The sequence below is a fragment of the Homo sapiens genome, chromosome 11 (genome assembly GCF_000001405.40).
Source record: "Homo sapiens chromosome 11, GRCh38.p14 Primary Assembly".
NCBI lineage: Eukaryota > Metazoa > Chordata > Mammalia > Primates > Hominidae > Homo > Homo sapiens.
The window spans coordinates 78,229,102-78,252,864 of record NC_000011.10 but is presented as its reverse complement, the minus strand read 5'-3'; the positions used below and the strand labels follow the sequence as shown (position 1 = coordinate 78,252,864).

General features: G+C 42.0%; 2 protein-coding genes across 6 annotated transcripts in view; one reads left to right on the top strand and one right to left on the bottom strand.

The window, feature by feature from the left end:
* Window positions 1-23,763, top strand: part of GAB2 (GRB2 associated binding protein 2) — a 202,528-nt gene that overhangs the window by 164,956 nt on the left and 13,809 nt on the right. For all 5 annotated transcript variants that reach the window (NM_080491.3, XM_024448782.2, NM_012296.4 and 2 more), the window contains exon 3: window positions 2,465-2,708. In NM_080491.3, the coding sequence (NP_536739.1) occupies window positions 2,465-2,708 (244 nt within the window). The remainder of the gene's footprint in view (window positions 1-2,464; window positions 2,709-23,763) is intronic.
* The window catches only part of USP35 (ubiquitin specific peptidase 35), a 48,301-nt gene continuing 40,183 nt past the window's right edge, over window positions 15,646-23,763 (bottom strand). Inside the window, exon 12 of the mRNA XM_047427335.1 lies at window positions 15,646-20,500. The gene's annotated coding sequence lies outside the window, so the exon portion shown is untranslated. The remainder of the gene's footprint in view (window positions 20,501-23,763) is intronic.

Sequence of the window (23,763 nt, the reverse complement as noted above, 5' to 3'; positions counted from 1 at the left end):
GTGATGATGGACCTCACTGAGACAGGGAACACGAGTGATGAAGAGGTCAATTTAGATTGTTGAGTTTGGCCCACTAGTGGGACGTCTGAAGGGAGGTGCTCAGCAGGTGAAGGGATATATAGCAGGGAGTCCCGGAGAGAGAACTGAGCTAGAGATGAAGATTTGAGAGTTGTCAGCACATAGGTGGTAACTGAAGCTGTGGAAGTGGACAGGATTACCCGCTGGAGAGTCTTCAGCGGGAGAGAGAGGCTATAGGAGGGTCTAGAGTGGAGCCCTGAGGAATGCCTCCACTGAAGGGGCAGGCAAAGGAAGAGGAGTCCAACGAGACAACAGAGAATACAGAATCTCACCAGAGGCTTGCTTTTTGCAGGTTCCCTGTGTCTTCTTAGGCAGTAGCTTGTATTCTTTCCATGGCCCTGTGGCTACTCTGTCCCATAATGTAAACCCTCTCTCCTCCACTATTAGAGAGTTCATCTTGCAAATCTAATGGAGTAATGAGCTATCGATTCTGTTAACAAATGTCCAGTTTACTGAAAGACTTGTAATGGGAGTTAATTTTGGGGGTCAATACAGCTGTCAATGGAAAAGTTTTTCCCCAGAGGCCCATCAGCTTTTTCTGTTGTACACTGGCAGGTGTCCTGCCCAGCAGCAGAAATGCCTGGAGAGTAATTAATACTGTAGAGCATTAATGAGCTGGTGATCCTGCCTAGGACCATGAGAAGGGTACAGCCTGAGATAGGTCAGATGACAGGGCGTAGAAGGTGAACTGTGTCCCCTTTGACATGAGTTGAATAACCTTAGAAAATCAACACCACCACAACGTTAACCCACCAGCTATCATACTGCCTAAGATTACATCTTTAAACTTTTATTTCTTTCGAACAAGAAGTTTCACTAGTGGAATTTTTGAGTGCTGAATGAATGTGTTGTGTTTGCTTAGTCCGCAGACATGAACTAAGAATCTGCTATGTACCTTGCCTTTATTAGGTAAATGCTGGGCCTATAATGGTAACAACATCACAGTCACTGTTCTCAGAAAGCCATGGGTTAGACAAGGAAGCATAGTGACCATGGATATAATGGGAGCATGGGCCAAGTGCTGCTGGCACACAGAAGAAGAAGCAAGTCCAGGAAGATTTGGGAGAGAATATGATATCTGTGTAGGGTCTAAAAGTCTGCATATGAGCTTGCCAGTAGAGTAGAGGTGAAATCCAAGTGGAAGGAACAGCAGAAGCCAAAACAAAGAATCATAAAAGAGGCTGGTGTGTTCAAGGACTGATGATGCTTCCATATGCCTTGTTTATGGGTGGAGAAAAGCAGGAAGTAGGTCAGACTGTCAAAAGCCTTGTATGTTATGCTAAGGAATTTGGACTAGCTTAGAGAGCCAGCCAAATGAATAATGACCTTGGCTTGGGGTGTAGTACTATAAGCTATTATCCGTCCTTAATACCTCACTTACTAACACAACAGAGAAAAGCTTGAGATAAGAGGGAAAATGACCAATAGACAGGGAGTGGTAGGCAGTGGGGAATGTAACTGTCCTTGGAGGTCTTAGGAGGCCAGGCAGGAGCAGCTGGAGTCCAGTATTAAGGGACAGCTCCAAATGCATTTGTGCTTTTCTCATTAATGCAGTAAGGCACAGTCCAGAGCCTCAATTAATGAGTCTTCAGTAAGCAAAGCCTCATTTAACAAAGCCAGCCTTAGCTTTTTTTTTTCCTGTAATTAGATGTTTAAATTTCATTTTTTTTTTAAATTTCAACTTGTTTTTCAGATGCCAGGGTACATGTGCAAGTGTGTTACATGGGTATATTGTCTAATGCTGAGGTTTGGCCTTCTGTTCATCCTATCACCCAAATAGCATTGTACCCCATAGGTAGTTGTTCAATCCTTGTCCCCCTCTCTCCCTCCCTGTTAACATAATCCCCAGTGTCTACTGTTTCCGTCTTTATGTCCATGTGCACCCTGTGTTTAGCTCCAACTTATAAGTGAGAACATTAGGGTATTTGGTTTTCTGTTTCTGCATTAATTCACTTGGGATAATGATGTTCAGCTGCATTCATGTTGCTGCAAAAGACATGATTTCATCCTTTGACCACAGCAGGCGCCACCAAAGAGTGGGAAGGTGGTCGTACTCATTACTCTAGAGGCAGACCTTGCCTGAGGGTCAGGGTCACACTCCTAGACCACAGGTAGCCGTACTTCCTGGAAGTGGGGCAGATATGGCCTACATTGTGATAGGAAGTCACCTCCAGGCTACCCCAGAAGCCATACAAAGGTAAAGAGGACCTCTTCTTCAACCAAGATGGCCAGGAGGGCAGCAAGGGGCAGGTATATGAGAGGGAGAGAATGCTAGTGCTGGATTATTTTCTCTGCTCTTACTCTTTTTTCTTCCTCTGACAACTCACTTTGGGATAAGGATACATTTCCTTCCTTTTTCATTCACAGAGCTATTTCTCCTTTTCAGACTCCCTGAGAAATGTTTCCTCAGCCGGTCATGGCCCCCGCTCTTCTCCAGCTGAGCTCAGCAGCTCTAGCCAGCACCTTCTCCGAGAGCGCAAGTCCTCAGCCCCATCACACTCCAGCCAGCCAACTCTGTTCACGTTTGAACCCCCTGTGTCAAACCACATGCAGCCCACCTTGTCCACCAGCGCACCTCAGGAGTATCTCTACTTGCACCAGTGCATAAGCCGAAGAGCAGAAAATGCAAGGTAGGAGGCTGCCACAGCCATTAGGTGGGTTAGTGACCGCTCACAGGGCCTAGTACTTTTCAGTCCTTGCTTTTTTAAAGACAAGCAAAACATTATATCGTTTCAGGTAGACAAACACGTCTATGACAAAACATAATTTTTTGCTTCTGTAGCCTTCATATTTTATTGGCATCATCTGTGTTGCTACACAGTGATAACTGGGTGCCAGAGAAACTTTTCATTATCAAAAATCATGCTATAAAAAATGTTTGATTTGGAGGCAGGGGTGAAGGCATTAGGGGACACAGTTTCCGAATTGCAAAAAAAAACAGTCAATTTACTTGGGCTTAAAAGTATAGCTATAAAACCATAACATAGTTCAACAAATCCATACCTTGCTTTTGCTCTAGAACTGCACTGTTCTGTATAGTAGCTACTACCTGCATATGTCTACATAAATTTAAATTAATTAAAATGAAATAAAATGTAAAATTCAGTTCCTTAGTTGTACTAGCCACATTTCAAGTCCTCAGTAGACACATATGTCTAGGGGCTACTGTACCAGACAGCACAGATACAGAAAATTTCCATCATAACGAAGTTCTAGAGCAAGGACTCCCTGTTCTAGGATAATGGTCTTTTGTTTTTCTAACATCATCAGCTCTTTCACAGGTGCAGAACCTGTAAATGTATTTATTATGTTTTATTCCCATTGTTAGGCTAAGCAAAAGTGCAGAGCTGATAGGCTTTGCCAGAGCTAATTCCCAGTTGCTACCATAGCCAGCAGATTACAAATCACATTTTAATTAACTTACAAGATCTAATTCATGTTATGACAATTAAGGCAAATAGAAAAATGGCTGTACTAATGTATTACTTGATTTTGTCCTTGAGAATATTTTCATACATAATCTCATTTGAACCAATCAATACACTGAGAAATAGCCAGTATACAAAATTTATCTCCATTTTAAAGATGAAGGAACTGAGAATCATGACTAATAAATAGCAGAGGTTGGGCTAGAACCCAGGTCTTCTTGTTTCTGGTCCTGTACTCTTTTCACTATGCTACCCTACTTTTGTTTTTCTGAGTCATCTGCTGTCACACAGAAGAGGCTCCAACACTTAATCTTAAGGCTGCCTCAGATACCCATTTTCATGAAGAACATGATTCATTTGTTTGTGAACTTTCACTAGTTCAACTTCCATCAACTTATACATGAAGAGCTGAGTCCTAAAAAGATAGAGTGAGTTAGCCAAGGTCACTGAACTAGTTAGTGGCGTTAACTGTAAATAGTACCTGATTCTCCCGAATCACTAACCAGAGATAGGCAGTGTGGTATAATGAAAAGCATGTTCAGGCTTTGGAGTCAGTCGGATATGGGTTCAAATTCAGGTTCTTTTACTTTCTTTGTGATCTTGGGCCAATTATTTAACCTAATTAACCTTCAATATTCTTATCTTCAGAATGGGAATAACTAATTCAAAGGCTTACTAATGAGTGTAAAATGATAAAACATACATAAAATAGTAGTAGAGAGTAAATACATTTTACCTGTTCTTCCTATGCCCCATCCTCTTCTACTACATAGACAACTGCCTGGGAGCAGATAAGGTGAGGTCTTAAAATCATAGTTGTAGTGAAAGGCAAAGTACTTAGCTGTAGTGCCTTGCAGACTTTAACATGCATATGAAATACCTGAAGATCTTACTGAAATGCTCACTCTGACTCAGTAAGCCTGGCCTAGGTCCTGGGGTCCTTTCTAATAAACTCCAGATGATACCAGCACAGATTGTCTACAGCTCACACTAAGTAGAAGGCTTTATATAGTAGTAACAATTGCCGCCACCACCACTCCAGTGATCCTGCTGACGCATCAGAGAACAAACGTAGAAACATCTCTGCTTGAATTAGCCTTTAGGGCCCACTCTCTGCACCCCTACCTCCTCTGTGAAATCCCTATTAATCTTCCTACCTGGAATTCACTTTTTCTCTGAATTGCCACAGCAGTTTTTTATTCTCTCTCTCTCTCTCACAACATTTGGAACTTTCTGCCTTGTAGAATGGATTTTTATATTAATACATTACTATTATTTGATGATGGAGCTCACAGTAGGTGCATAATAATTTGAACAAATCCATGTTGTAGAGGGATAAGCTAGTAGAAGAGATAGAACTTTACGCAGCTGAGGAAGTCACATTGTTGTAGGCCTTTGACCAAGTCATGTTCTTCTCTGTCATGGTTTTCACTTGTGTGGATGAGGGAATGAGAGGGTAATGAGCAGGATCTCAGGGAGACTTTTGGAGAAAATAAGTTCAAATAATGTTTGCAGAATTCCAAAGGAAGTTGGGAGGGTAGGAAGGAAGCTTTCTTAAATCCAGAAAGACGATATATTTTCTTGTAGTAGTGGAGTTGCTCGCATCATGCTAAACCTACTGTAATAATTATAAACTCTGGACAAAATATTAAAAAATAACTTTTTTAAGGCCCTGAAGAGCAATAAAAAAGGCAGAAACTGCAAGAGATCTGACTCTTGAAAGAAGTGAAATTCAGTTTACATGGCTTTTCCTATGATGTTCCAATAATATATCGTCGAGAATATTCAGTATACAATGAGAAAATGCCAGACATATGAAGAAACCGTATACATTAACCCATAGTTGAGAGAACTCAGTATCTAGAAAGAGATCAAAATAAACCCATATTTTGGACCCAGCCTACAAGACTTTAAAATAATTATGTTAATTTTTTAATCTATTGTGGGTAAAGGATATAATAGGTGAAGAGATGGTGGATTTTAGGATGGATGTAGAAACCGAAAAAGAATTGGGTAGTTCCAGTTCCACTATGGTGGTGGAAGCCACCACAGGCTTTCCTTCCCACTGATTACAACTAAAAACTCTGGACAAAATCCAAAGTGCAATACCCAAAGACTCTGAAAAATAAATAAAAGGAGATAGATTGTAAAGAGGAGAAGAACTTGTAGAAGTGACTACACAGAGATGAACTTTTTGTCTTTCATGCATTTGCCTCCAGGTTGGGCCCCATCACAAAGTAGCACAGTGCAAATGGCTAAAATGTCATAAAAAACCCCATCTTTCTGAGTAGGGGAACCAGAAGAGGAGCCCCATTGGGGCTGGAAGGAGCTAGTATATTCCAGAATGAAGAGAGCTGGAGAAGGGATCTTCTAACTCTGGGAATGAAACTATGTGAGTCTTAGGATCACCTTGGGCTACACATGTGTGGGACAAACCGAATCGAGTGCAACAAAGCCTATGTGAACTGAAAGAAGATTTGAACTACCATACACAGGAGGAGAGACAGAACTTGCAGTCTGAGCCTAACCAGGTTGATTTCCTATAAAAATATCACTTCTCGGCCGGGTGCGGTGGCTCACGCCTATAATTCTAGCACTTTGGGAGGCTGAGGTGGGCAGATCACCTGAGGTCAGGAGTTGAAGATCAGACTGGCCAACATGGTGAAACCCCATCTCTACTAAAAATACAAAAATTAGCTGGGCTTGGTAGTGGGCCCCTGTAATCCCAGCTACTCAGGTGGCTGAGGCAGGAGAATCGCTTGAAGCCAGGAGGTGGAGGTTGCAGTGGGCCGAGATCACGCCACTGCACTCCAGCCTGGGCAACTGAGTGAGACCCTGTCTCAAAACAAACAAACAAAAAAATAGCACTTCTCCATGGGATTATAACAGAACCCAGCATCTACACAACATCATGTTCACAGCATTCAGGATCTGTAATCCAAAATGTCTCAGCATATTGAAAACCAGAAAAATATAACCCATTCTCAATGGAAGTCACAGGTACAAACCTCAAAATAACCCAGATGTTGGAATTATCAGACACAGATTTCAAAGCTCCTGTGAAAACAACATTCCATGTAATAAAGGAAAACACACTTGAAACTAATGGAAAGAAAAAACCCTCTGCCACCGGACACTGTGGCTCACACCTGTAATCCCAGCACTTTGGGAGCCCGAGGCAGGTGAGTCATCTGAGGTCAGGAGTTCGAGACCAGCCTGGCCAACATGGTGAAACCCCGTCTCTACTAAAAATACAAAAAAATTAGCCAGGCATGGTGGTGGGCGCCTGTAATCCCAGCTACTTGGGAGGCTGAGGCAGGAGAATCGCTTGAACCCTGGAGGCGGAGGTTGCGCCATTGCACTCCAGCCTGGGCGAGAAGAGCAAAACTCCGTCTCAAAAAAAAAAAAGAAAAAAAGAAAATAAAAAAACCCTCTGCCAACCAAGGAGTTTATATTCGGCAAAAGTATCCTTTGGGAATGTAAACAAAATTAAGACGTTCTCAGATAAAGGAAAAATAAGAGCATTTCCAAGAGATCTGCTTTTAAAAACTGATAAGAAATTTCCTCAGGCTGAAGCAAGATGGTACTAGAAGGAAACTTGAATTTTCAGGAATGAAGGAAGAGCAACAGAAATAGTAAATCCCTGCATAACTGTGAAAGATTATTTTTCCGTTTTAACTTCTTTAAAATATGTATAAGTGTTAGAAGCAAAACTCAAACAATGTCTAGTGAGGTTTTCACCTGGTTTTCTTACTCTTTAGTATGAAGAGCTCCCTTTGCCATTTCTTGCCATGTGAGTGGCCTGGTGAGAAATTTTCCCAGCTTTCATTTATCTGGAAATTTCTTAATTTCACCTTCAGTTTTGAGAGAGATTTTGCTAGGTATAGAATTCCAGAATGACAGTTCTGTTTTCTTTCAGCATTTAAAGGATACCATTCTAGTCTTCTGACCTTCATTGTTTCTGATGAGAGATCAGCAGTTATTTTAATTTTTATTATTCTATATGTATTTTCCTTCCTCTGAATGATTTTTTCTTTTCAAAAATTGTAGTAAATACATAGCATAAATATATCATCTTAACCATTTTTAAGTGCACAGTTCAGTAAAGTACATTCATATTGTTATATAATCAATCTCCAGAAATCTTTTCATCTTACCAAACTGAAATTCTAACCATTCAACAACTCCCCATTTCCCCTTCCCTCAGGCCCTGAAAACCACCATTCTACTTTCTGTCTGTGTGAGTCTGACTTCTCTAGATGCCTCATATACATGGACTCATACTACATTTTCTTTATCCATTTATCTGTTGATGACCACTTAGGTTGATTCCATTATCTTGGCTATCGTGACTAATGATGCAATAAACATAGGGGTGCAAATAGCTCTTTAACATACTGATTTCCTTTCCTTCAGATATATACCCAGTAATGGGATTGCTGGATCATAAGGTAGTTCTATTGTTAGTTTTTTGAGGAACTTTCATACTGTTTTCCATAACGACTGTACTAATTTACATTCCCACCAACAGTGTGTAAGAGTTCCCTTTTCTCCACATCCTCACTGGCATCTGTTATTTTTCTTCTGGAAAATAGCCATCCCAACTGGGGTGAGATAATATCTCATTGTGGTTTTGATTTGCATTTCCCTGCTGATTAGTGAGACGGCAAGCTTTTTTTTTTTTTTTTTTTTTTTACTATGAATGTTGGCTGTTTTTCTGTCTTCGTTTGAAAGATAACTATTTTCAGCTAATTTGCCTCAACTCCATTATTTGTTTTTTTTTGCTGTTGAGTTGTTTGAGTTCCTTGTATATGCTGGATATCAACCTTCCATCAGATGAATAGCTTGCAGAATGGCTTTCTCCCATTCAGTAGGTTGTCTCTTTACTCTGTTGATTGTTTCCCTTTGCTGTGCAGAAGATTTTTAGTTTAATATAGTCCCATTTGTCTTTTTTTTTTCTTTCTTTTGAGACAGAATCTCCCTCTGTCGTACAGGCTGGAGTGCAATGGTGCGATCTTGGCTCACTGCAACTTCTGCCTCCCAGGGTCAAATGACTCTCCTGGCTTAGCCTTTTGAGCAGCTGGAACCACAGTCATGTACCACCATGCCTGGCCAATTTTTCTATTTTTAATAGAGACAGGATTTTACCACATTAGCCAGGCTGGTCTTGAACTCCTGACCTCAAGGAATCTGCCCATCTTGAATCTGCCCATCTTGGCCTCCTAAAGTGCTGGGATTACAGATGTGAGCCAGCACACCCAGCCATTTGTCTATTTTTTGTTTTTGATGGTGCTTCTGAGGTCTTAGCTGGGCCCTTTTTTGTTTTTGCTTTTGATGGGAGACTTTTTTTTGCAAATTCCATCTCATTACTCATAATTAGTCTGTTCAGATTTTCTATTTCTTTTGGGTTCAATCTTGGTAAGTTGTGTTTGTCCAGGAATTTATCCATTTCTGTTAGGATTTCTAATTTGTTGGTGTATAGTTCATAATCATCTTTTTTCTTTTTTCTTTTTCTGAGACAGAGTCTTGCTCTGTCCTCCAGGCTGGAGTGCAGTGGCGCGATCTCAGCTCACTACAACCTCCGCCTCCCGGGTTCAAGTGATTCTCCTGCCTCAGCCTCCCAAGTAGCTGGGACTACAGGCACGTGCCACTGTGCCCAGCTAATTTTTTTTTTGTATTTTTAGTAGAGACAGGGTTTCACCATGTGAGCCAGGATGGTCTCGATCCCCTGACCTCGTGATCTGCCCGCCTCGGCCTCCCAAAGTGCTGGGATTACAGGCATGAGCCACTGCACCTGGTCCATAATCATCTTTAATGATCCTTTTTGCATTTCTATGCTGTCAGTTACAATGTCTCCTTTTTCTTTTTTATTTTATTCCTTTATCTATTTTGAGACGGAGTCTCGCTGTGTCACCCAGGCTGGTGTGCAGCTGCGCGATTTTGGCTCACTGCAACCTCCACCTCCTGGGTTCAAGTGATTCTCATGCCTCAGCCTCCCGGGTAGCTGGGACTACAGGCGCCCACCACCACTCCTGGCTAATTTTTCTATTTTTAGTAGAGACAAAGTTTTGCCATGTTGGCCAGGTTGGTCTCTAACTCCTGACCTCAAGCAGTCCACTTGCCTCTGCCTCCCAAAGTGCTGAGATTACAGGCATGAGCCACCATGCCCAGCCTTTTTTTTTCTTTTTTTTTTTCTAGACAGAGTCTCACTCTGTCGCCCATACTGGAGAGTACGGTGGTGTGATCTCAGCTTACTGCAACCTCCGCCTCCCAGGTTCCAGCGATTTTCATGCCTTAGCCACCCGAGTAGCTGGGATTACAGGCGTGTGCCACCATGCCCACTAATATTTGTATTTTTAGTAGAGACGGAGTTTCACCATGTTGGCCAGGCTGGTCTCGAACTCCTGATCTCAAGTGATCTGTCCGCCTCAGCCTCCCAAAGTGCTGGGATTACAGGCATGAGCCACCACACCCAGACTGATTTTGTATTTATTTGGATCTTTTCCCGTTTTTTCTTGGTCAGTCTTGCTACTGGTTTGATTTTGTTTATTCTTTGAAAAAATTAACTTCATTTTGTTGATCAGTTTTATTTTGTCTCAATTTTATTTCTGCTCTGATCTTTTTTTTCCCCTTTTACTAATTTTGGGTTTGGTTCTTGTTTTTCTGCTTCCTTGAGATGCATCATTAGGATGTTTATTTGAAAATTTTCTACTTTTTTGGTATTAGCATTTATTGCCATAAACTTCTCTATTAATACTGCTTTTGCTGTATTCCATAGGCTTTGGTATGTTGTGTTTCTATTTTCATTTGTTTCCAGACATTTCTAAATTTCATTCTTTTTCTTTTTTTTTTGTTTTGAGACGGAGTCTCGCTCTGTCGCCCAGGCTGGAGTGCAGTGGCATGATCTCGGCTCACTGCAAGCTCTGCCTCCCAGGTTCACACCATTCTCCTGCCTCAACCTCCTGTGTAGCTGGGACTACAGGTGCCCGCCACCACACCCAGCTAATTTTTTGTATTTTTAGTAGAGATGGGGTTTCACCGTGTTAGCCAGGTTGGTCTCGATCTCCTGACCTCGTGATCCGCCCACCTTGGCCTCTCAAAGTGCTGGGATTACAGGCATGAGCCACCACACCCGGCTCTAAATTTCATTCTTAATTTTTTCATTGACCCATTAAATCATTCAAGAGCATGTTGTTTAATTTTCCATGTATTTGTACAATTTTGAAATTTCCTCTTGTTACTGATTTCTAGTTTTATTCCATTGTGGTTAGAAAAGATGCTTGATGTGATATCAATTCTTTTAAAATCTCTTGGCCTAACATGAGGTCTGTCCTATAGAATGTCACATGTGCTAATGAGAAGAATTATACTCTGCAGCTGTTGGATGAAGTGTTGTTAGGTCCATTTGATCTAAAGCGCAGTTTAAATCTAATTGTTTCCCTGTTGATTTTCTGTCTAGGTGATCTGTCCATGCTGAGAGTGAGGTGTTGAAGTCTCCAACTATGATTATATTAGAGTCTGTCTCTCCCTGTAGATCTTAATGGTGTTCCATAAGTCTTGCAGGTTTTCTTCACTCTTTTCATTTGTATTCCCCCTTTCCTTCTGGCTGGGTAATTTCAAACTACCTTTCTTCAAGTTCAGATATTCTTTCTTCTAATTGATCAAGTTTGCTGTTGAAGCTCTCTGTTGTGTTTTTTATTTCATTCATTGAATTCTTCAGCTGCAAGATTTCTGGGTTTTTTTTTTTCTTTCTCTTTTTTGAATTTTTTTGTTCATATTGTGAATTCTTTTTCCTAATTTCTTTGAATTGTGTGTGTTTTCTTGTACCTCATTGAGTTTTCTTAAGGTCATTATTTTGAATTCCCTTTCTGTAATTTGTTGATCTCCTTTTCACTGGGCTCTAGTTACTAGCCAGAGTTCCTTTGGTGCTTTTTTGGTGTTATATTTCCTTCCTTTTTTGTGTTTCTTGTGTCCTCATGTTAAGTGTCCATGCTTCTGGTGGAAAGATCACCTCTTCCAGACTTTCTGGAGTGGATTTCTTAGAGAAAGACTTTCACCTGCAGTTGGGTTTTAGTGTTCCAGTTGAGAAGGATGTGATGACTGTGTTTCCACTTAGGTGCAATGGTATAGTCTCCATGCAGCTTCTTTGCCTATGTTCAACATCAACAATAACTGGGAGTGCCTCAGTGGCCTAGACTATAGAAGTTTGTGCAGCAGCGGTGGTAGCATAGGTTGTTAATATCCTTAGCGTAAAGGGCTTTTTGGGTCTTTCTCTTCTCATTTTCCCCAAATGAGGAGACTCAGTCAGGGGGATCCCTCTTAGTGTCAGGTCTGGCATGGCCTACAAGTAGCTGCAGCAGTGCTGGGTTCTAGGTACTGGTGCTTGGAGCTTATGTGGCGTTGGGTTTCTAAGCTCAGAGTCTCATGAACCTATTGTGGCAGCTGGGTCTTGGGGTGCAGGTTCACTCTCCGTAGCATGGTTGGATGTGGACTGCCCTCCGGGCCAGGATCTATGATATGACTCTGTTGAACCCTCTATCAGCTCAGGTCAGGGGCCAGCTGTGATTCTACCCCTGGTAGGCAGAGCACAGCACTGGCCTCACCCTGGGCAAGAAGGGATGTTCTGGAGGTTTGGTTTCAGGGAGGAGGATACAACTAGAATTTGGGAACCTGAGTCAATAAGGCTCAATGGCAACTTGGGTCCCAGGGATTGATACACCATGTAGCAGTGACTCTACATGGTCCCTCTTTAGGCTTAGCAAATACCCGGGAATGGCAGAGTATAGCTGTGTTTTGGGCTACAGAGGGGCAGGGAACAGCAGAGCAATGACTCTACTCCCCAGGGAGAGGCGTATCTCAACAGCTCAGACTCTAGGGGGCTAGTGCAGCTCCAGGAAAGCAAGGCACTAGAGTTGTTTGGCCTGTAGGGCAGGGTGTCTCAGCTCAGACACTGCTCTTTTTCCCTGAAACACAGGGTCCTGTATCAGCTCAGCCTTGGAATGCACCCCCTCTCAGCTCAGCTAGGGCACCCATTCCCCAGGGGACAGTGTGCTACTTCAGCTCAGGCCCAGGAGGGTGTGACTGTTCTGAGTAGCCCAGGCATCCTTTCCCTGGAATGCAGGGAACCATATTATTTTAGCTACTGGGGTACCTCATTCTGGGGAGTCAGTGCACCGTTTCCTAGGATGCAGCCACTGGCTTCAGCTTAGGCACTGTGGAGGCATGACTGTTCTGAGCAGCCAAGATACTGTTTTCCTTGAAGAGAGCATACTGCTTCAGCTCTGGCCCAAGGGAGTGGGGAGAGGGGCAGGTGGATTAGCTTTACTTCTGCTTGACCCCCCTGGGAAGGGTGTAACAGCTGCTCACAGCTCAGCTTTGGAATGTTGGGCCACTGGGCTAGCAATGGCTCAGCCACAGCTTAGCCTCAGGAATGAAAGGGAGCCATGGCTACTCACCTCTGGAGCAAGACACACTCCAGCCATAGTTCCAATTCCAAGATGGCATAGCACAGTAGCCACACGGAACACAGCTATGTGGACCCTAGGCAACTTCCTTCACTGGGCTTAGTGCCTATGAGGACTTCAGGGGACTCCAGTGGTGAGGCCTGAGATGTCCAAGGTGTTGATGGCAGTTGCCATGATCCTCTTGCCTACCTTCTCACCAAAAGAACTTCGTCCTTGTTCCAAACTGATCTTGCATGGAGTGGTGAAGGCCTAGTGTGTTTCCTTCTGTTCTCTGTGTGACCATCCCAAGTTTCTGGTTCATCGAGTTTCTGTTACTCCTCTCATGCATTCTGGGACTCTCCCTCCGTTATTTTTGCTAAAATGTAATTGTTCAGGAGGCCAGGTGTGGTGGCTCACGCCTGTAATCCCAGTAATTTGGGAGGCCGAGGCAGGTGGATCACGAGGTCAGGAGTTCAAGACCAGCCTGACCAACATGGTAAAACCCTGTCTCTACTAAAAATACAAAAATTAGCAGGGTGTGGTGACATGCGCCTGTAATCCCAGCTACTCGGGAGGCTGAGGCAGGAGAATCGCTTGAACCCAGGAGGTGGAGGTTGCAGTGAACTTAGATCACGCCATTGTACTCCAGCCTGGGCAACAGAGCAAGACTCTATCTCAAAAAAATACATAAAATTAAATTAAATTAAAATTTAAAATGTAGTTGTTTATTCATTGTTCTGCCTGTCTTTGTGAGGGGGACAAGCAGTAGGGGTTTCTTCTTGGCCATTTTGCTAGCATTACTTCCTTTTTTTTTTTTCTTAATAGAAATGGGTGCAATGTGGTATCTCATTGTGCTTTTGATTTGTATTTCCCTAATGATTAGTGGTGTTGAGCAACTTTTCATGCGTGCGTTGGCCATTTGTATATCTTCTTTGGAGAAATATCTATTTCAAGTCTTTTGTCCATTTTTCAGTCAGGTTGTTTGATTTTTGTTGTTGTTGTTGAGCTGTTGGAGTTTACCTATATTAAACCCTTAGCAGATACATGACTTGCAAATGTTTCTCCCATAGATTGGTTTTTTACTCTGCTGATATGTTCTTTGAAACACAGATATTTTAATTCTGATGTTCAATTTCTGCATTTTTACTTTTGTTGCCTGTGCTTTTGGTGTCATATTCAGGAAATCACTGTCAAATCCAATGTTATGAAGCTTTTCTTCTATGTTTTCTTCTAAGAGGTTTATAGTTGTAGCTCTTACATTTAGGTCTTTGATCCATTTTGAGTTAGTTTTTTTATCTGTTTTAAGGTAAAGGTCCAAGAACTTTGTTCTTGTGGGTTGACTTAGTTTTCCAGTTCTATGTGTTGCTTTTTTTTTTTTAATCTAGTTTAGCAAACTTTCTACCAATATTTCTTCGACTTTTTTTTTTTTTTAAGAGACAGGGTCTCAGTCTGGCACCTAGGCTGGAGTACATAGCTCACTGCAGCCTCAAACTCCTGGGCTCAAGATCCTCCTGCCCTCAGCCTCCCAAGTAGCTGAGACTACAGGCATATGCCACCATACTTGATTAATTTTTTGTAGAGATATGGTCTCGCTATGTTGTCTCGAGCAATCCTCCCACATTAGCTTCCCAAAGTGCTGGAATGAGCCACCACACCTGGCCTCTTCAAATCTTTTTCTGCCACATTTTCTTTTTTTTTTTTTTTTTTTTGTTTCTTCCCTCAACTTTTATTTTAAGTTGCAGGGTGCATGTGAAGGATGTGCAGGTTTGTTACATAGGTAAACATGTGCCATGGTAGTTTACTGCACAGATCAACCCATCACCTAGATATTAAGCCCAACATGCATTAGCTATTCTTCTCGATGTTCTCCCTCCCTCTGCCCACCTAACAGGTCACAATGTGTATTATACACCCACCCCCAGGTGTCCATGTGTTCTCATTGTTCAGCTCCCACTTATAAGTGAGAACATGTAGTGCTTGGTTTTCTGTTCCTGCATTAGTTTGCTGAGGATAACAGCTTCCAGCTCCATCCATGTCCCTGCAAAGGACATGATCTCTTTCCTTTTTATGGCTGCATAGTATTCCATGGTATATAGGTACCACATTTTCTTGATCCAGTCTATCACTGATGGGCATTCCTTCTGAGACTTCAGTTACTTATACACTAGACCACTTGATACTGACCCAACAATCACTTACATTATCTTTTTTTTCCAATCCTTTTCTCTCTGCTCAGTTAAGATGATTTTTTAAACTGATTTTTCATTTCTACATTTCCCCACCCTTTTTTTTCCCCACAAGTTTTTAGGAAGAAATTGAAGTACAGTCAGTGGCATTTATATAACATTTCCTCATGCCCCCTTGTAATCCATCCTTCCCTTACCTCATTCCTAGAGAACCAGTAACAGCCTTTCTGCCACTACAGATTGATTTGCATTTTCCATAAATTTACATAGATGGAATCATATTGTAAGTACTAGTTTTCCTGACTTCTTTCATTCTGCATAATGCTTTTGGGATTCATCCATGTTTTTCCATGTGTCATTAGTTTGTTCCTTTTTATTCCTCAGTAGTACAGTGTATCTTTATATCACAATTCACTTTTCCATTCACATGATGATAAGCATTTAGATTGTTTCCAGTTTTGGCTGTTACACATTAAGACCCATTTGTACTTAAACAGTAATGAGCAAATCTTTGTAGAAACATTTGTTTTTATTTCTCTTGGACAAATACCTAGAAAACTATGCCCAGATGGTTTTACTGGTAAATTCTACCAAGCATTCAAAGATAACACCAATCTTACCCACAGTCTTTCAGAAAACATAGGAGGAGGGGATTCTTTCACAGCTCATTTTATGAGACCAGCATAACCCTACTATCAAAATCTGGCAAAGATGACAGGAAATAAAATTACAGAGAATATCCCCCATGAATAATAAACAGAAATCCTCTTTAAAAACAAAGGATTAGCAGTCGAATCCAACTAAATACGTATGTGTGTATATCTATATGTGTCTGTTTGGGACAATATATATATTTTAGGGAATATGCATGTGTGTATACATTAGGGGTAAGACATCATGACAAAGTAGTGTTTATCCCAGGAGTGTAAGGTTGGTTTGACTTCAAAAAAAAAACAATCAAAGTAATTCATTACATTAAGAGAATGAAGGAGAAAAATAATATAATCATAACCTCAATAGATGCAGAGGAAGCATTTGACAACTCAGTACTTCATTGAAAAAAAAGTATTTCTTAGCAAACTATGAATTGAGGAGAACTTCTTTAAACTGATAAAGGACTTCTAAGGAACCCTATAGCTAAGATCATACCTAATGGAGAAATATTGAACATAATGCCCTAAGATTGAAAACAAGGAGAAAGTACCTGTTCTTACCACTTCTATTTAACATTGTACTGGAGATTCTCATCAGTTCCATGGAGGAAGAAAAATAAATAAGAGTCCTGGTGTGGTGGTTCATGCCTGTAATCCCAGCACTTTAGGATGCTGAGGCAGGTGGATACCTGGAGCTCAAGAGTTCGAGACCAGCCTGAGCAACATGGCGAAACCCTGTGTATTTTAACAACAAAAAAATTTTTAAGTGAGTTTAGCAAGGTCACAAGATAAAAAGGTTTTTATGCAAAAAATAAGTTTTACAGTATGCAGTGAACAATTGGAAAATGAAAAAATTTTAATTATATATCGAATGGTACCAGAAAACGTGGAATACTTGGGAATAAATTTAACAACAAACATGCAACACCTCTTCACTGAAAACTATCAAATGTTGCTGGTAGAAATTAAAGACCTAAATATGGAGAGTGATGTACAGTAGTTATGAACTAGAAGACCTATTATTATTTAGATGGCAGTTTTTCTCAAATTGTTCTGTAGATTCAACACAATCCAAATAAAAATCCCAGTCTCGGGTATGTCTTTATCAGCAGCATGAAAATGGACTAATACAGTTAATTGGTACCAGTAGAGTGGGGCGTTGCTGAAAAGATACCAAAAATGTGGAAGCGACTTTGGAACTGGGTAACAGGCAGAGGTTGGAACAGTTTGGAGGGCTCAGAAGAAGACAGGAAAATGTGGGAAAGTCTGGAACTTCCTAGAGACTTGTGGAATGGCTGTGACCAAAAGCCTGATAGCGATATGGACAATAAGGTCCAGGCTAAGGTGGTCTCAGATGGAGATGAGGAACTTGTTGGCAACTGGAGCAAAGGTGACTCTTGTTGTTTTAGCAGAGACTGGTGGCATTTTGCCCCTGCCCTAGAGATTTGTGGAACTTTGAACTTGAGAGAGATGATTTAGGGTATCTGGCGGAAGAAATTTCTAAGCAGCAAAGCATTCAAGAGGTGACTTGGGTATCGTTAAAGGCATTCAATTTTATAAGGGAAAGCAGAGCATAAATGTTCGGAAAATTTGCCACCTGACGATGTGATAGAAAAGAAACACCCAGCCGGGCGCAGTGGCTCAAGCCTGTAATCCAAGCACTTTGGGAGGCTGAGGTGGGCGGATCTCAAGGTCAGGAGATCGAGACCATCCTGGCTAACACGGTGAAACCCCATCTCTACTCAAAATACAAAAAATTAGCCCGGCATGGTGACGGGCGCCTTTAGTCCCAGCTACTCGGGAGACTGAGGCAGGAGAATGGCGTGAACCCGGGAGGCGGAGCTTGCAGTGAGCCGAGATCGTGCCACTGCACTCCAGCCTGGGCGACAGAGTGAGACTCTGTCTCAAAAAGAAAAGAAAAACCCATTTTCTGGGGAGAAAATCAAACCGGCTGTAGAAATTTGCATAAGTAGCAAGGAGCCTAATGTTAATCTCCAAGACCATGGGGAAAATGTCTCCAGGCCACATCAGAGACCTTCATGGCAGCCCCTCCCGGTGGCCCGGGAGGAGAAAGTCTGTCGCTCTGTCTCCCGGGCTGGAATGCAGTGGCATGATCTCAGCTCATTGCAACCTTCGCCTCCTGGGTTCAAGCAATTCTCCTGCCTCAGCCTCCTGAGTAGCTGGGATTACAGGCGCGTGCCACCATGCTTGGCTAATTTTTGTATTTTTAGTAGAGGTGGGGTTTCACCATGTTGGCCAAGCAACCAAAGAAATTTTTAAAAGAACAACAATAAAGTCAGGATTTATATTACTTGATTTCAAGAATTCCTGTCAAACTATGGTAATCAAGATAATGTTGTATTGGTGAAAGGACAAAAACCTGTAGATCACTAGAAGAATTAGCAAGTCCAGGAGAGAAATATATATAAATACATATATGTATATAAATATTTTAAATGCATATATAAATAAAAATAGTTTAAATATATAAATATATATAATTATTAAAAGTATATAAATATATAGATGCCAATGGAGAAAGGAAAAACCTGTTCTGCAAATGATGCTGAAACAGCTTGACATTCATATAGGAATAATAAAAAAAGAACAGCAACCCTTCATATCACACCACTCACCCAAAAATTAAAATGTATCAGAGACATAAATGTAAAATCTAATACTACGAAACTTCTAGGCTGGGCGCAGTAGTTCACGCCTGTAATCCCAGCACTTTGGAAGACTAAGAAGGGCAGATTGCTTGAGCTCAGGAGTTGAAAACCAGCCTGGATAACATGGCAAAACCCAGTCTCTACAGAAAATACAAAAAGTAGCCAGGCACGGTCACATGTGCTTGCATTCCCAGCTACTCAGCAGGCTGTGGTGGGAGGATCACTTGAGCCTGGGGGAGGTCAAGACTGCAGTGAGCCAAGATCATTCCATTGCACTCCAGCCTGGGCGACAGAATAAGACCCTGTATTTAAATAAAAAGAAAAGAAAAGAAACTTCTAGAAGAAAACATCTCCATGATCTTGAGGTAAGCAAAGATTTTTATATAGGACAGAAAAAGCAAGAATCATAAAAGAGAAAAAACTGTAGTTTTTGGTGAAGTAGTCTTTATCAAAATTAAAACTAGTTCTTCAAGAGGCCTCTTTAAGAAAAGAAAATGGGCTGGGCGTGGTGGCCCACGCCTGTAATCTCAGCACTTTGGGAGGCAGCAGGCAGATAACTTGAGGCCAGGAGTTCGAGACCAGCCTGGCCAATATGGTGAAGCCCCATGCTAAACCTCTGCTAAAAATACAAAAATTAGACAGGCGTGGATGTGCTCATCTATAGTGCCAGCTACTGGCGAGGCTGAGGCTGGAGAATCGCTTGAACCCAGGAGGTGGAGGTTGCAGTGAGCCAAGATGGCACCACTGCACTCTAGCTTGGGCGACAGAGTGAGCAAGACTCCATCTCAAAAAAAAAGACAAATCACAAAATGCGAGAAAATATTCAACGCGCATATCTAACAAAGGATTTGTTTGTGGTCCATATAAAGAACTTCTACAACTCAGTAAGAAGAGAGCAATCCAATATTTTTTTAATGGGCAAAAAATGTGAATAGATTCTTCAACAAAAAAAGATATAGGAATGTCCAGTAACCACATGAATAGATGATCAGTGATCTGGGAAATGCAAATTAAAATCTCAGTGAGATTCTGCTTTACCTCTGCTGGAAGGGCTAAAATAAAAATGGCTAACAGGCCAGACGCAGTGGCTCATGCCTATAATCCCAGCACTTTGGGAGACCAAGACAGGCGGATTGCTTCAGCTCACAAGTTTGAGACCAGCCCGGGCAACATGGCGACACCCCATCTCTACCAAAAACAATTAGCCAGGCATGGTGGCACATGCCTGTAGCCCCAGCTACTCAGAAGACTGAGGTGGGAGGATGGCTTGAGCCCAGGAGGCGGAGGTTGCAGTGAGCTGAGATCACGTCACTGCATTCCAGCCTGGGCAATAGAGCCAGACCTTGTCACCAAAAAAAAAAAAAAAACTTAACAGTGCCAGGTATTGGTAAGTATATGAATAGACTTTAATCCTGTGTTTCCTCTAACATTCACATTATATACTAGGTGCTCTGGAAGAAAGAAATGATGCTTTAAAGTTTACAAAGCACTTTTACATTAGGTACCTCATATGATCTCCAAAGTAATCCTGTAAGATTATTTTTGAGTAGGGGGTATAAAGTGAATCAGCCCATTCATCCTGCCTCGCATAGACTAGACATAACTGTGTCTGATTGGATTACTGAGGCTACTAATACCAGCCTTCTATCTATCTCTTTTTTCATTTATGTGGGAACCTGATTGTAAAGATACAGTAAATTAAGCACCTTAGAAATAAAACTGTGAATTATGTATTTATCATCACTTTTACTGCAATAATAGCCACTAGTCTTCCTTCAAGTACTAGATAATATGTATTCTTGCTAAAATAACTTCATTTCTCAAAATGCAGGTCTTCCACTGAGCTAAAATAAGTAACTATTCAGAATAATATCTATTGCCAACGGAAAGAGTTTTGAACTGGCAGAGTCAAGACAAATAGAGTTCTTTTTCTCTTTGAAGACAAGTTGGTTTCACTGGACTTATTTTTGTCCTCCAGCCTTTGGGGCCTCATTCCAGATTCTAGCCAGTGTCTGTCTTCTTATTTCAAGAAGGCTGTTAAACCTGTAACAGATGATACATTGATGTGAGTCACATGCCCTGAAAAGCCATAATTCTGGTGAGGGTTACTAGGAGTGAAATTTCATTGGTGAGATTCCAGAATCACTGACCCTGCAGCAGTAGTCTATAGAAAGATGGTGGGTAAATGGTAAAATTAGAAATGTCAGTGGAGAGCTTACCCATCATTAATCTTTTCTAAGTCTTCCCTGACTCATTCACCAGAGGCTTTGATTGACTGACCAAAGGCAAAATATACAACTTTTAGTTTCACATATACAGCTTTGCTCTGTAACCAGAGTCCTGCCAAAATTGGCTCAGAACTGCAGCCAGAAGGGTTTGAGATACAAAGATTGCCTCATCTCATAAAGATTTGTGACACAGAGTTTTCTTCTTTCACAGGAAGGATCCATTTGGAATGGGTCAAATGCAAGAGGATAGTTCAAATGACCTCTTAAACATGGCCAGTGACAGTTACAGAACTCTAAATGGTGTTTAATCTACTTACAAGCATTTTATATTAAGTCACCCTTAAATGGGAACATACTCATTGAAAATCAAAGTGAGTCCTTCATCATTAGGGTTCTTGGAGTCCAGTGGGATAGAAAAAAGCAAAATCATCATATAGTATGGTATATAAAATTATATGAAAATGTGTGGAAGAACAAGTACAAAATGAAGTGGCTAGAAAAACTAGAAAACCATTTTTAAAAGCCAAGGGAAGGCCGGGCACAGTGGCTCACGCCTGTAATCCCAGCACTTTGGGAGGCTGAGGCGGGCAGACCACGAGGTCAGGAGTTCGAGACCAGCATGGCCGATATGATGAAACCCCGTCTCTACTAAATATACAAAAATTAGCCAGGTGCAGTGGTACGCTCCTGTAATCACAGCTACTCAGGGTGCTGAGGCAGGAGAATCGCTTTGAACCCAGGAGGCGGAGGTTGCAGTGAGCCAAGATTGCATCACTGCACTCCAGCCTGGGAGACAGAATGAGACTCCGACACACACACACACACACACACACACACACACACCACACACGCGCGCGCGCGCACCAAGGGAGAGACTGTATGGTGGCAATAGCCTCTATAGCCTCTGGAAGAGCCATTGGCCAGGAATGGAAAGGGAAGGCACTTGGCACTGCTGGCTTGAGGGAATATCTTCTCTCAAACTTCTTTTTGATTCTGGGGAGCTCCCATACGTGCTTGTGTTTGAGTATCTTCCTGCTCCAACTCTGCCATTTACTGTTTTCCTCATCTGATAATGTGAAAGTAAGAGGTGTGTCTCAGAACTATTAGGAGGATTTAAAATGAGATCACATGTGATATGTATGGCATAGTATCTTGCCTATTTTATAAGGCTTCTGTAAGCCCAGCCCTGGAAGAGAAGCCTCTCTCCAAATCCACCACTTCCAGGTGGATTATCCATCCCACAAAAGCAACTCAGGTCATCACAGTGACACAGGCCTCAGTTAAGGTTTACATGAAAATACTAAAGGCCATAAGACTGCTGAGTATTTGGAATTCCCCATCTAGATTATTGCCCAAAGGGACCACATTTTAGCATGGTTTGCGCAGTGGGGGCACCCAGAGACCTGGCTGCTAGAACAAATTCCCTGCCCTCTGAGTATGTAACTTTGGGCAAGAGTCCCTTGTTCAACTCCTCTTACTTGGTTACTGAGGTGATAATCAGTCTCCCTCAACATGTGTCACTATTATCTATCATATGCCTGGCACTATGCCAGGGTACAGGATATGGCCCTCTGCCTTCTAGGAGCACATGGTCTGGTAGAAGTGGAAAGACACAGACCTGAATAACTGACATAAGGCAGAATAAGGTGAGTGTTGCGATGGAAGCACAGAGTGCTGTGGTAGCACAGAGGAAGGAATGATTACCATAAAAAGGAGAATTAGGGACCTGTAATACCTTTGTAGAGTGAAAAGGCTTCTTGTGGACTTTGTGTAAGGTGTTGATGTATCAAGGAAGCGTTCCACAGGGAGGTGAGTAATGCAAGACCAGGGCTGAAGTTTAGACTACACAGGACATGTTTAGGGATGAGTGAGTAGTTCTGTGAGCGAGACAGGAGGATGCCGGGGTAGAGGGAAGTTGGAACGTAAGCTAGTGGGTTCTACAGAGGAAGGGCTTTGATCTGCTGATCAGAAGGTTTGGGCCAAGCCCAGGAAAAGGGATAGCAGCAACATACGTTTGTTTATTCATTTGCTTACTTACAACAAACGTTTATTCATTATTTATAATGCAACAAGCATTAACCTAGGTGCTAAGGAGAGAAAAATGAGTAAGACACAGTTTCTTTCCTCAAGGAAATCACAGTCTGTTGGCAGAGATAAGTAGTAATGGTGCCTAATATAGGTAACACTTGCTACCTGCTCCAAGAACAAAGTTAAGCAAGTGATTAAGTTAAGCAATGCTTAGAGGTAGAGGATGTAAGAATGGCCTTAAAAAATGTGTCTTCTGAGATGAGTTTGAAGGATAAATGGAGTAGGAACTTGCCAGATTGAGGTAAGAAGCCTTCCAGACACAGCCCAACAATGCAGCAAAGCCCAATGCTTGACTAACTGGGGCACACAGGGAACACTGCAAAGTTTGGTTTGGATCCTAGAGTGGAAAAGGGAACTAAAGAGAAAAGATTGGTGAGATGAGTTGGGATAAACCTAGGAGTTTGGGCTTAATCCTGAAGCATTGAGGCGGTGTTGAAAATGTTTACACTGGGAAGTTAGGAAAGTAAATATTAGTAGGATGGAAGGATCAGAGAGGCCCTGGGCAGAAATCATAATGTGGGTGACTCCCAGGTTTCTGGCTTGAGTAACTGTTGCCATTCCCAAAATAAGAGAGGCAGGAGGAGAAGAGTTCCAGAGGAAGATGATGAGTTCATTCTTGAGTATGTTGAAGGTTATTGCAGGGTGCCTGTGATGCTCTTGCAACCCCATCCCCACCTTGAAATCCTTCAGAGGCTCCCCGTTCCCTTTAGTCCTGGCCTGGCCTCCAGTGTCTTCTCTCAGCCCTGCCTTCTAATGTGCTTGCTGCAGCCTGAGCAGCTTCGAGTTTCTAGAACTTGCCAGGTTGTGTTCTACATCTTTGAGCCTTCAACTAGAACACCATTTCCCTTCTCCTGCCTTCTGCCTGGCCAGTTGTGGCTCATCCTTCCAGACTCACTCAAGATAAAACATCTCTGAAGGAGGCTTCCCTGACATTGTCTACCACCACCCCCAGCAAGGGCTGATACCAACTGTCAGCAGCTACATACTCAC